At 47.9% G+C, this 13471-nt stretch overlaps 1 protein-coding gene across 11 annotated transcripts in view, besides 3 other annotated features; it reads left to right on the forward strand.

The window, feature by feature from the left end:
* Nucleotides 1-13471, forward strand: part of ERGIC1 (endoplasmic reticulum-golgi intermediate compartment 1) — a 118433-nt gene that overhangs the window by 36927 nt on the left and 68035 nt on the right. The gene's annotated exons all lie outside the window — the stretch shown is intronic.
* Nucleotides 6315-7290: an enhancer, noted in NCBI's record as "H3K27ac-H3K4me1 hESC enhancer chr5:172304495-172305470 (GRCh37/hg19 assembly coordinates)". NCBI's record gives its function as "activates a minimal SCP1, AML or CMV promoter by ChIP-STARR-seq in primed H9 embryonic stem cells {active_cell/tissue: H9 hESC(primed)}" and the evidence as "EXISTENCE:reporter gene assay evidence [ECO:0000049][PMID:30033119]".
* Nucleotides 7291-8266: an enhancer, noted in NCBI's record as "H3K27ac-H3K4me1 hESC enhancer chr5:172305471-172306446 (GRCh37/hg19 assembly coordinates)". NCBI's record gives its function as "activates a minimal SCP1, AML or CMV promoter by ChIP-STARR-seq in naive and primed H9 embryonic stem cells {active_cell/tissue: H9 hESC(naive and primed)}" and the evidence as "EXISTENCE:reporter gene assay evidence [ECO:0000049][PMID:30033119]".
* Nucleotides 11094-11183: an enhancer, noted in NCBI's record as "active region_23647". NCBI's record gives its function as "activates an Ori minimal core promoter by ATAC-STARR-seq in GM12878 lymphoblastoid cells {active_cell/tissue: GM12878}" and the evidence as "EXISTENCE:reporter gene assay evidence [ECO:0000049][PMID:35858748]".

Consider the following 13471-nt stretch of genomic DNA (forward strand, 5'->3'; position numbering starts at 1 on the left):
CGGCCTGAGGCTGATTGGAGATGGCTTCTCAGAGAAAGGGATGCGTGAGCTGAGTTTTCAATTGCCCGAGACCTCTGACCTCACTGGCCACTCCAGCTGTATCAGCCTCGCTGCTGTTCCAGGAACCTGCCAGATACGCTCCCTGCCTCGAGGCCTTTGCACTTGCTGTCCCTTCTGCCTGGAATGCTCTTCCCTGGCTATCCCTGTGGCTGTTGTCTCACTTAATTCCGATCTCCATTTGCATGTCATGATCTCCTTGTCTGATGAGCCCCATCCGAAGGGCCCTGGCATTACACTATTTCCTTAACCTGTTTTATTTTTCTTCATAACGCTTATCAGCACTGACATATATGAGTTCATTCACTGTTGGTCTCTCCCACTAGGAGATAATCTAGGTGAAGACTGGGAGATTTGTGTCTGACCTCCGATGTGCTCCCAGCACCTAGATCAGTGTGTGGTCCACAGTAAGCACTAGAGGATGCAAAGTACTGTGAGCTGATGAAGGAGAGAGAGGGGGTGATGCAGACAGATGGCACCAAGCTGGAATAGCAGTGGTCTTTGGGGAACAAAGAATGTTGGCGGGCAGTGGGGTGAGAAGGAGGGGCAGATAACACACAGCCAAAGACAGATCTGCTAAGACAGGCCCTGACTGTGTCTTTCTTTTCATTTATAACCTGCTTATTATAGAAAAAGTGACAACACTGAGATGTGCCGAAGTGGAAGTGATCACCAACTAGCCTCTCAGCCAGGCCCACAAGGAAAACATTCTGACCCCTTTCCTAAAGCCCTTTTGCCTGGGATTGTGTGGAGAGTTTCACCTTTTCATTTGTGAGCCAGATCTTGCTTTCTAAAGTGCACAGCTAGCTGCCTGCCCCTTCAGGTCTCTTCGCTGTGCTCCCAGCCCAGTGCAGTAACCTTGTGTTCAGATGGGCGAGGACATGTACCCCAGCTTGGCCACGAGATAGAGTAACCTCGGGCCTCAGGGGGCCATGAAGCTTTGCAGGAACCTCCACCCTTTCTCCTCCAGCCTCGTCCCCATGTGTCTGCCTGTACTCAAGGCCTCAGTCTGAGTCACTGTCTCTACACAGTCTTTCCTGAACCTCAGTTTTATTTTTCTGTAAAAATGGGGATGAAGCTAGTGTTTATACCTTGAATGGTTTTGAGGATCAGATTTGAGGATCAGATGAGACAATATGAGTTACTACTTGGGTTCATGGGAGGTGCTCAGTAAATATCATTCTCCTTCCCCTCTTAAAATCTTAATCCTGCACTGTGCTTTTACCCCAGGCCTCACCAGAACTCAGCCTTGACTTATTTCTCAAGGTCACTGAGAGTGTTGTCAAAAGGTGGTCTCAGGCCAGGCTTGGTAGCTCACACCCGTAATCCCAGCACTTTGGGAGGCCGAGGCAGGTGGATCACTTGAGGCCAGGAGTTCGAGACCAGCCTGGCCAACATGATGAAACCCTGCCTCTAGTAAAAATTCCAAAATTAGCCTGGTGTGGTGGCACATGCCTGTAATCTCAGCTACTCAGGAGGCTGAGGCAGGAGAATTGCTTGAGCCCGGGATGGGGAGCTTGCAGTGAGCCAGGATCACACCACTGCATTCCAGCCTAGGCAACAAGAGCAAAACTCTATCTCAAAAAAAAGAAAAAAAGAAAAAAGAAAAGAAAAAAAAGGTGGTCTCATAGCACAAAGCAAAGCTGAATCAATTGGGCAGGTGGAGGTCAAGGGACACTTGGGGTCCCCAAAAGGGGCACCTTTCACAGGCATCTTGGCATGGCTCCTTCCCCTAAATACTCCCCTCCTAAACTTAAAAACACTGACACCAACAGTTTATTCTTTTTAAATCTCTGTGAAAGGCCGTGCCTGGCGGGGAGCCACGGGCATGAGAATCCAGTCCCCGGAATAGCTCCTGCCGCTCAGCGTTTAAATGCCGTCTGTATTTTTATCCGATGATGGGCCACTTTTGAAAAACCCCGCTCATGCTCTGCCCCTCTAAGAATACATTTCCATTTATAGCATCTGCACACAGGATGTTGTTCTATCCCGGTGTGGGGCCAGGAGGCCGTGTCCTGTTTCCAGTGAGTTGGAAACACTTGGGGGGCCCTTGCTCCCCCCAGCCCAGCACTCCCTGTGGCCTTGACAAGCGGGAAGCCTGACTCCCGGCCAAGCCCTGGCTGCCTTTCCTCTTCCTGTGCAAGCCTGAGCTCATCTGTCTGTTGCAGGTTGGGGAGGCAAGTGGGGGTGAGGGGCCCCTCTCCAGCCTTGCCCAGCCAGGGCCTCCAGGTGACACAGCACCACAGTTCCTTAGCTCCGTGGACCCTGCATCCTTCACTCACTCACCCAGTGCCACGGCCTGCTGTCAGCATGGGCCCTGCATGGCACAGGAGAGCAGCGATGAGTACAGAGAGCCAAGGCTCCCAGGGCCCAGTGGGGAGCTTTGGGGAGGCCAGGGAGGATCAGTGTTCAGTCTCCAGGATGAGGCTGGCCAGGGTTCCAGTCCTGACTCTGCTTCTTGTTAGCTGTGTGAGCTTAGGCAAGTGGCTTGGCCTCTCTGAGCCTCAGTTTCTGCATTTGTTGAAGGAACCTCAGGAGTAGTAGGGAAGATTCTGTGGACAGAGTAGGCCAAGTGTCTAAGCAGTGCTTGGCCCATAGGGTGGGAGTCCAGGAAATGCCAGTCCCCTTTCCCGTCCCTCTGTTGACCTGTGGTAACTCAGGTGGGTGCAGGCTAAAAGTCTTAGGAAATCTGCTTGAAGTTAGATATAAACACATGCCTTACACCTTAGGAATTCTAGCACGCATGGGCATCTCCTGAACTGTGCTTTTCAGCAAAGCAGATTCCTGCCCTGCCCACCTCACCCCTCACCAGTTTAGTTCATTCTACAGTGGGGCCCTGGAATCTGCAAATTTTTTTTTTTTGAGATGGAGCCTTGCTCTGTCCCCCGGGCTGGAGTGCAGTGGCGTGATCTTGGCTCACTGCAACCTCTGCCTCGTGGGTTCAAGCGATTCTCCTGCCTCAGCCTCCCAAGTAGCTGGGATTACAGGCACACGCCACCACGCCTGGCTACTTTTTTTGTATTTTTAGTAGAGACGGGGTTTTACCGTGTTGGCCAGGCTGGTCTTGAACTCCTGATGTCAGATGATCCACCCGCCTCGGCCTCCCAAAGTGCTGGGATTACAGGCATGAGCCACCATGCCTGGCTGGAATCTAAGTGTAACCAGCTTCCCACAGATTCTGAGGCAGTGGTCCTTGGACCACATTTTGAGAAATGCTGCCTTCTTCATCCATTGCACAAGTGCTTCTCCTGAACCTACTCTATGCCGGACACTTTTCTAGGCCCTGGTGATGTAGACAGATGGGGTTCCAGCTCTCTGGTGACATATTCTGATGGAGTCAGGCAGTGAGCAGATACACATAACTCAACATCAGGGAGTGATTTTAAGTGCTGAGAAGAAAGAAGAGGGCAGAGGCTGGGCGTGGTGGCTCACACCTGTAATCCCAACACTGGGAGGCTGAGGCAGGCAGATTGCTTGAGCCCAGGAGTTTGAGACAGCCAGGGCAACATGGCAAAACCCCGTCTCTACAAAAAAATACAAAAATTAGCCAGGTGCAGTGGTGTGCGCTTGTCCTAGCTCCTTGAAAGGCCAAGGTGGGAGGATCACCTGAGCCTAGGGAGGTTGGGGCAGCAGTGAGCCATGATCGCGCCACTGCACTCCAGCCTGGGCAAGAGTGAGACCCTGTCTAAAAAAAAAAAAAAAAAAATTAAAAGAAGAGGGCAGAGTAAGCACAGGCTCCCCCGAGGAGATGACATTTGAAAATAGACTTAAGTAAGGGAGCAAGCCATACAGAGATGCAAAGGCAGAACCTTCCAGGTAGAACGGTAATTCATTCAAGTTCTCCAGCTGTTGAGTGGCAGAAAGTCAAGGGCTTTCCATACCTCCTCTGCTTTTTCTTTTACATGCTATCTATAAGGGTGCTTTTTTAGCTGAAGTAGCAGAAAAGTGGACTAGAAGAGGTTTAAATAAGAGTTTTTTTGTTTTCATTTTTTTTCTCATGTAACAAGAAGACTGGAGGTAGCTTGCTTCTGGTGTTGGCTCAGCATCTCAAGGATGCCAGAGTTTTTATCTCTGCTCTCAACTGCACTTTTCCCTTATGGTCTCAGAGGAGTTCCCCCAGCTCCAGATGTTATGTCTGCACCCAGGACAGGAAGATGGGGTTGGGGTAGAAATGTTAGTGCCGGTGATGTGTGACCCTTTGATTATAAAACCAAAAGCCCCCTACCCCCCCAGCAGGCTTCTGCTTATTATCATCAGTCAGAGCAATGGTATATGGCCACCCCATGCCACAAAGGAGGCTGGGAAAGTGAAAGTAAGTGGTTAGGGTTAAAGGGAATCAGAATCCAACAAGGTCTACCTATTGCCTGTGGGCTTTCTTGAGACAGGATCTCATCCTGTTGCCCAGGCTGGAGTGCAGTGGTGCAGTCACGGCTCACTAAAGCTCAAACTCCTGTGCTCAAGTGATCCTCCCACCTCAGCCTCCTAAGTAACAGATTACAGTCATGAGCTACCACACCTGACTAATTTTTTAATATTTTGTGGAGACGGGATCTCACTATGTTGCCCAGGGAACTCCTGAGCTCAAGAGATTTTCCTGCCTTGGGATAACAGGCATGAGCCACCATGCCTGGCCACGTCCTTTATTTATTGAAGAAACTAGGTCATTTATTCTGTAGAATGCCCGCATTATGGATTGGGCTTATTGAATCATGTAACCTGTTCCTGGTATTTTCTGTAAACTGGTGGTTAGATCTGGAGCCTTGATTAGGCTCAGGGTCAGTTCTCTGGGCAAGAAGCATTCCTGGGTACTGCTGTGTGCTTTGTATTGTGTCACATTGAGAGGTACAGAACAACTGGCTTTCTTCTCTTTGAGATGCTCAGATGGATCACTGCGTTCAGGCAGGCAGATGGATCACTGCGTTCAGGCAGGCAGATGGATCACTGCATTCAGGCAGGGGCAGCCTGGTCTATCTGTTAGGAAGTTTCCTGTCGTTGCTGATTATTGTCTAGAGCCAGGATTTCATCAGTGGATGCACAAAGAGGATTTTTCTAATTCTCTTAGTCTTTCTGCATACATTCTTTGAAGTTATTCTATAAAACAGAACGTTGCCCTCATCAACTATTTGGCTAGCTAGAAATACATTTTATACCAAGAAAAAAAGTCAGAGTAAGTGCATTCTCTTTATTTACCAATTTTCAGAATAATGAGTTGGTGGTGTAGGATCTTAAAGGTGTCCAACAAGGCTTGTTACTTGTTTTTAGGAAGTATCCTTATGAACTCATGGATCACTTAATGTATGGGATGTATTTCAATCACGGCTGTTATTAAAATGTTTTATTCAGACAGCTTTATTGAGGTATAATCGACTTACAATAAATGTCACATGTCTAAAGTGTACAATGTGAAAAATTTGACATATGTATACGTCCATGAAACCATCATCACAGCCAAGATCATGGATATCTACACCACACCCCAAAGCTTGCTCCTCCCTGTCCTTTCCGCTCTCCCTGGGCAGCTGATGATCTGCTGTCACTCTAGATTAGTTGGCATGTTCTAGCATTTTATATAGACAGAACCATACCATATGGACCCTAGTTTGCCTGCCATTCAGCATAATTATCTTGAGAATCATCCATGTTGTTGCAGTGAGCCGAAATCGCGCCATTGCACTCCAGCCTGGGCGACAAGAGTGAAACTCCGTCTCAAAAAAAAAAATTTAATGAAGCCTAATTTATCATTTTTCTTTTATTACTTGAGCTTTTTGGTGTCTCATCTAAAAAGATAATCTTTGCCTAACCTAAACTTACAAAGATATTCCCTTATGTTTTCCTCTAGAAGGTTTATAGTAAGTCTGGACATCAGATCCAAATTTGTTCTTTTTCACAGTTGCTTTGGCTGTTCTAAGTCCTTTGTATTTCCATATGAATCTTAGAACCAGCTTGTCAATTTCTACAAAAATACTTGCTGGGATTTTGATTGGAATTGAGTTGAATCTATGGATAAATTTGGGAAGAAATGCCATCCTTACAATGTTGAATCTTCTGACCCACTAACATGTCTATATTTCCACATTTACTTTTGCTTTCATGTCTTCTTTAATTTCCCTCAGCAGTATTTTCAGTATATGGGTCTTGTACTTTTTTCTCAAATTTATCTCTAAATATTATATATATGTGTGTGTGTGTGTGTGTGTGTGTGTGTGTATATATATATATATATATTTTTTTTTTTTTTTTTTGAGATGGAGTTTTGCTCTTGTTGCCCAGGCTGGAGTACAATGGCACGATCTTGGCTCACTGCAACCTCCACCTCCTAGGTTCAAGCACCACCCCCCTGACACAGGGACACACACATAAAATGTAACAGAATGCAGCGTTCTGCCTTGGCCTTTTCCTCTTACTGTATCCTGGAGATTCCCCTGTGACAGTGTCATTTTCCCATCTAGCTGTATCACCCTCTGCGTTATGGGTGATCTGTAGTGTCCCCTTTGGCTGGATGTTTGGATGACCTCCCGTCATTTGCTATTACAGCTGGTGCTGTGGTACATAGCCTTGTGTAGATGTCAATTTATATTTTCACCTGGAGTTCACTGAGTGCTATTAATGGGCCAGGCCCTGCGTGACCCACAGGAGATTCAAGGACAAATCTGACCCAGCCCAGCAAGAGTGGAAGACCCTGCAGCCAGCCTGGGGCTGGGCCGGGTATAGTCCCCAGAGCCTGTGGAGACTGGGGAGCTGCCTTGGGATGGGGAGTGTGGTTTGTCTGGCCTTCCGGAAGTCAAGCAGTCAGATTTACTCTTCTTCCTCTTTGTCCAGACTTGGTCTTTGTGGGAAGGAGGGGAGGGGAAAGGCCAAGATTTTGTGGTCAGAAAGGGTTATCACGGATGGGAGAGGTCACATGTGGGGATGATTGGGGTAGAAGTGGAGGCTGCTGGAGCTGGGAGGCCATGCCATGGGCACCAAGGTCTAGGGAGAGAGCTGCAGGGAGAAAACCTTATATGCGTTGGTGACATCAGCATTATGTGCTATGTAGACCAGGAGTCGTCACCCAGATTTCTCATAAATCCAGGCCTTCACTCCTTCACCTGCCAGCCTGTTTCCCTCTTCCAGGCAGGCATGTGGCCCAGGGGTGAGAAGAATTGTTCTACTGCCAGACTGTGCCAGTTCAAGTCCTGGCCCTGCATCTTGGGCAAGTAAAACAGAAAGAATGCTACTGTCTACCATACAGGGTTATGAAAGTGATCCGAGATACTGAACGCAAAGTGTAAGCCGAGGCTTCGTGCGCAGTAAGCCCTCGCAAGGGGGGTAGCAGCAGTCATAGCTGTGATTGTTACTATTATATTATTATTATTATTCCTCCCTCAAAGTTGCTCCATCTGGGCTGGAGACAGAGATGGACCTTTTTTCCTTTGGACAGAGGGAGAGAGTGGTATGAACTCATCTTAGTAGTATGAATGTCAAGGTCAGGATTTGAGGGGGGCGATGAGAATGATTCTAGGGCTCCCTCCCGCCTGCCTCCACTTGGCTCTGGTGTGTTCATTTGCCTTCGTGCCCCCCAACACACATACACGCATGCACACACATACACTAGCACAGCCCCCGGGCCAGTGGTTCTCAGTAAGGTGGAGGGAATGAGTAGGTGAACAAACGAGTGAGTTTTTCGCCTCACTCCCTGGCACTCGGCACCGAGGGCTCCGACAGGCTGGTGGCCAGGGCTGACCAGCCAGAGTTTCATCTAAAAGCCTCGATGGCTATTTTTGGGACAAATGACCCACCACTTCCAATGACTTGCTCCGAAATGGCATCTAATTTCATTAAGCCTTGGAAACAGTGACATCACAAGTGCCTGCCCGGTAGCCGCCCACATATGGCGAACCACAGAGTGATCCGAGATTCGTCTGCAAGAACAGGGGAGAACTAAGGTCCCAAGCAGCAAAAGTTAAAATAGCAAAGCTGAGGCATTCTGCTATGAAAAGAAATTACAGATGAAATCCATTAGTCAGACATTTCCAGCGGCAGTTTCCTTGCTTGGGAGCAGGGGAAGACGTGTTTATTCGGGGTTGGGCTCTGCAGCCATTCCTCACTCTGTAGGCAAGATGTGGCCCGGAAAGTGGGTTTCTGTTAAGGAAATCCTATGTTCTCATTGACTTTTAGCACCGACCTTCCTGTACATTCTCATGGAATTTGCTGTATCCTAAGGCGTGAGGAAGCTAGAGACGTGGATTTGGCACCTTTTTGATTAACATAGTGACACTTGTACTTACCACGCCCTTACAGTAAGTCACAAAGTAAATTCAGACGGACTTCATCTTTTCCCTATGGGTTCCTTTGCTTTGTTTTTTTTCCAAGTGAGCGCTGCCTTCTCAGGCACAGAGCAAAAAGGGAGGGAAACACTGCCTAACTCCAGATTCTTGGTCTCCATGGAGGCCATCAAGGCGGTGGCTGTGACATCACCCATCGGGGGCAGGAGCAGCTGGAGGCCCCTCAGAGAGAGCATGGGATCAATGGGAAACCTTCTATGTGGGAGGTTTTATTCCGCACACAACAGAGCTTCCCAGCCTCAACCCTATTGACACTTGGGGCTGGTCATTCTTTGTCGTGGGGGGACCTTCTTGTGTGCCATGGAATGTTTAGCAGTACCCCTGGCCTCTACCTATGAGATGTCAGTAGCACCCCACACCCAGCGACGGCCCAAAAGACAAATGTCCACTGAGAGGCAAAACCTCTCCTTACATGAGCACTAACAAGGATTGATTGGAAAGCTTTTTAGTGGCTTGTGTTTATTTATTTACTTTATTATTTATTTATTTTTTGGAGGCAAAGTCTTGCTCTATCTCCCAGGCTGGAGTACTGCAGAGCCGTGATCTTGGCTCACTGCAACCTCCACCTCCCAGATTCAAGCAATTTTCCTGCCTCAGCCTCCCCAGTAGCTGGGATTACAGGCACCTGCCACCATGCTTGGCTAATTTTTGTATTTTTAGTAGAGACAGGGTTTTGCCATGTTGGCTAGGATGGTCTCGAACTCCTGATCTCAGGTGATCTGCCCGCTCTGGGGCTTGTTTTTATTTTTAAAAATTATTATTATTATTTTATTTACTTATTCTTGAGACAGGGTCTTACTCTGTCTCCCAGGCTGGAGTGCAGAGGCATGATCTCAGCTCACTGCAGCCTGGACCTCCCTGGGCTCAAGCAATCCTCCCACCTCAGCCTCCCAAGTAGCTGGGACTACAGGCGACCACCACCACACCCAACCAATTTTTGTATTTTTTTGTAGAGACAGGGTTTCACCATGTTGCCAGGCTGATCTCAAACTCCTGACCTCAAGTGACCCACCCACTTCAGCCTCCCAGAGTGCTGGGATGACAGGCGTGGGCACCACACCTGGCTTTGTTTTTGTTTTCAATACTCTGAGTTTAATTGCACCTTCAAGTGAGCAAGGCACACCTCTTCTTGAGGCTTTGGCTTTCTCTTCTGTAAAGCGAACGGGTTGGACACAGTGATCTCAGAATCCCTGAGAGAGCTGACCGTGAGGAGCGTTGAGGGCAGGGGGCCCTATGGGGTCTCTGTTTGGGTTCTGCCCCAGCAGGGGATAAACCGCGTGCCCAGCTAGCCCCAGTCCCCACTCCCATTCCCTTGACCCCTGGCATCCAGGTTAGTTTTTCTTAAGTCCAGTTGGTTCCTCTCTTGCTTTAATTTTGGCCCATTTTCCTTTTTAAAAAGTGAAAATGTGGCTGGACGCGGTGGCTCACGCCTGTAATCCCAGCACTTTGGGAGGCTGAGGCAGGCAGATCACCTGAGGTTGGGAGTTCGAGACCAGCCTGACCAACATGGAGAAACCTCATCTCTATAAAAATACAAAATTAGCTGGGCATGGTGGCACATGCCTGTAATCCCAGCTACTCGGGAGGCTGAGGCGGGAGAATGGCTTGAACCTCGGAGGCGGAGGTTGCGATGAGCTGAGATCACGCCATTGCACTCCAGCCTGGAAAACAAGAGCGAAACTCCATCTCAAAAAAAGAAAAAAAAAAAGTGAAACTGTCTAAGTATCCACAAAAGTAGAGAAAACGGTACAGGGACCACGGTGTACTCACCGCCCAGCTTCACCACTGCCCATCTTATCTTAGTCTCATGTTTAAGGCTATCCAGTGGGCCTTATGCTTGTGCAGATCCATTCATGGACTCAGTTCCCCAAGGGCCTAGACTGGGTAGCGAGGAGGGCAGTAGAGGAAAGGTCTGGGACCTGCCCTTGAGAACTCATACTCCAGTGGCCGGGGAGGGCTAGGAGGGAGTGTTTCTTAAATAATAAATATTTATTATAATCCGTCCTTTAGCTTTCTGTGTTTGAGGCTAAGCAGTCCAAATCTTTAACTTTTCTTCCAAATATTTTCCACCCAAATGGGCCTGATTTGTCCCCACACTGTGGGGGAAAAGCAACAGGACCATAAATTAGATCTGGATTCAGATCTCTGCCGTGGCACTTCATAGGTGTGTGAGCCTAGCCAAGTCTCCAGCCTCTCTGAGCCTCATCTGTAAAATGGAACAATAATCCCTAATTTGCAAGTCAGTCAAGACAATTAGATGTGAACATGCTGGTCGAAGGCCTCTGTGGCCCTAGTATATAGCAGGTTTGCTGTAAGCACCCCTTTCCCTCCTCCATTCTCTTCACCCTTTCCTCCACATTCTCTTGACGGAGAGCTGGTCACAACTGGTCACATCACCGCAGCAAGGGACTGACTAATGTCAGCCAGGGAGGACGGCTCACTTCCTGGTCTGTCACATGCCTGGGGTTCTCACCAGCCTCCTGATAACCCATTTTCTTAGTGACATTCATGCTGACTCACTTGGCTTGTGGTCAGTTCTGAAACTAGGGTCTTTTTGAGCTCTCCCTTTACCCCACCACTGCTGCCCAGCGTGGCTCTGTGGCGTGGGAATGGAGTCAGTATTACAGTACGTAGTGTTGAGGTGGCCACTCCCAAGGAGCCAGAAGCTTTGCTAGATTGGCAGCTTCATGGGGTGGTGTCTGCCTTGATCACTTTCATTTCCCCACTGTCTAGAACACTGCCTGGTATATTAGGTGCTTAGCAAATGGCTGTTGAATGAATTAATGAATTTTGAACTGGTCCCTGTCTTCCAGGTGACTCTCATCTGCTCTGGGGCAGCATCCTTGGAAAAGCAGATGAGCAAAACCATGAGACCTTCATCTGATTTACCAAAAAATGAGCTCTAAACTGGTGATTCCCAGAGTACGGGCAGTGGAAGGACCATGCCCTGTGGACTCAGACTTGGGTTTGAATCCTAGCTCTGCCACTCACTGGCTTGGTGACTCTGAGCTTCCATTTTCTCCCTGGAAAAATGAGATATCAGTATTTTCCAGGGTTTTGTGAGAAATACATGCAAATATGTATGTCAAAGTGCCCAGCATAGAATGGAAGTGATTATGGTTAAGCATCATTTACTCTTTCCTTTGATTGCCTTCTGTAGCTTTGGTCCAAATCTCACCTCCCTCTTAGAGCGTCATCATCGCCCAGCCTGCCTCCCTACCCCTGTCCCCATGCCCAGCAAAGACTTACTCTGCCTGACACCCAGGAGTCAGGGTTAAACCAGCACCTAAAATTCAGCACCTCAAATTCAGGTGCCTACAAGGACCAGCCATATGTGAAGACAACAGGCTAAGTGGGGTGGTGGTGATGATGATGATGATGATTACTATTAGAGATGGTGGTCTCACTCTTTTGCTCAGGCTGGAGTACAGTGGAGTCGTCATAGCTCACTGTAGCCTCAATCTTCTGGTCTCAAGTGATTCTCCCACCTCAGCCTCCTGAGTAACTGGGATTATAGGCATGCTCTAAGTGTGATTAAGTGGCATCTCTGTCTTTCATGTTTTTTTAAATTTCCATTTGAAATACTTTTTTAACTTTTTGTTTTGAAATAATTTCAGACTTTTCCGCCAAACTGCAAAAATAGTACAGAGTTCCTGTATGCCCTTTACCCAAGCATCCCCAGATGTTAACATCTTACATAATCACAATACCATGATTAAGAGCAGGAAAATCCATTAGACAGTGCTGCCGGCCAATCTGCAGATCGTACTCAACTTTCTTCAGGTGTCCCCTGATGGCCTTTTTCTGATCCAGGATCTCATTGGATTTAGTTGTCATGTCTCTTTAGTCTCCTTCAATCTGTGACAGTTTCCCCATCTTTTCTTGTGCTTTATGACCTGAGTGCTCTTGACAAATGCCAGCCAGTTTTTGTTTTGTTTTGTTTTGTTTTTTTGTAGACTGCCCCTCACTTTGGATTTGTTTGATGTTCTCTCATTGTTAGATTGAAGCTGTACCTTTTAGGCAGGATCCCCCAGAAGTGGTGCTGTGCCCTCCTCAGTGCGGCATATCAGGAGGCACAGGGTGCCGATGTGTCTCCATGCTTCCGGTGCCCACTGTCTTCACCTGGTTAAGATGATGCCTGGGCCAGGCACAGTGGCTCATGCCTGTAATCCCAATACTTTGGGAGGCCGAGGCGGGCAGATCGCTTGAGCCCTGTAGTTGAAGACCAGCCTGGGCAACATGGCAAAACCCCATCCCTACAAAAAAATTAAAAAATTAGCCAGGCATGATGGTGCATCCCTGTAGTCCCAGCTACTCGGGAGGCTGAGGTGGGAGGATCGCCTGAGCCTTGGGAGGTTGAGGCTGCAGTGAGTCATCACATCACTGCACTCCAGCCTGGGTCACAGTGAGACCCTGTCCCTCCAGCCCCCATCAAAAAGACGATGTCTGCCAAATTTCTCCACTGCACAGTTACTCTTTCCATTTTGTAATTAATAAGCGTTTTCTGGGGGAAGTGCTTTGAAGGTATGTCAATATCCTGTCTTTATCAAAGTTTTGATTTGTTCATTTCTTTATTTCTATGTATGTTTTATCCTTTCTGTTTTATCCAATGGCTTATAATCTGTGATGATTGTTATTTATTTTGATGCTCACATTGTCTATTCTTCGGCCAGTGGGAACCCCAAGTTTTTTTTTTTTTTTTTTTTTTTTTTAAAGACAGGGCCTCACCCTGTAGCCCAGGCTGGAGTGCAAGGCTCACCATAGCATTAAACTCCTGGATTCAAATGATCCTCCCACCTCAGCCTCTTGAGTAGCTAGGACTATAGGCACACACCACCACGCCCAACTTTTGTTGTTGTTTTTTGTTGTTGTTGTTTGTAGAGATGAGGTCTTGTTATGTTGCCCAGGCTTTTCTTGAACTCCTGGCCTCAAGCGATCCCCCCACCTGGGCCTCCCAAACTGCTGGAATTACAAGCATGAGCCACTGACTGTGTCTGGCCTCTTCTTGTCCTTTTGACATGTCCTTTTCATTCTTTGAACACTTTCTTGGTTTCTGACATAAGAAGGTGCTCCAGGCCCATCTTGTATTT

This window comes from Homo sapiens, chromosome 5 (assembly GCF_000001405.40).
Source record: "Homo sapiens chromosome 5, GRCh38.p14 Primary Assembly".
Taxonomy (NCBI): domain Eukaryota; kingdom Metazoa; phylum Chordata; class Mammalia; order Primates; family Hominidae; genus Homo; species Homo sapiens.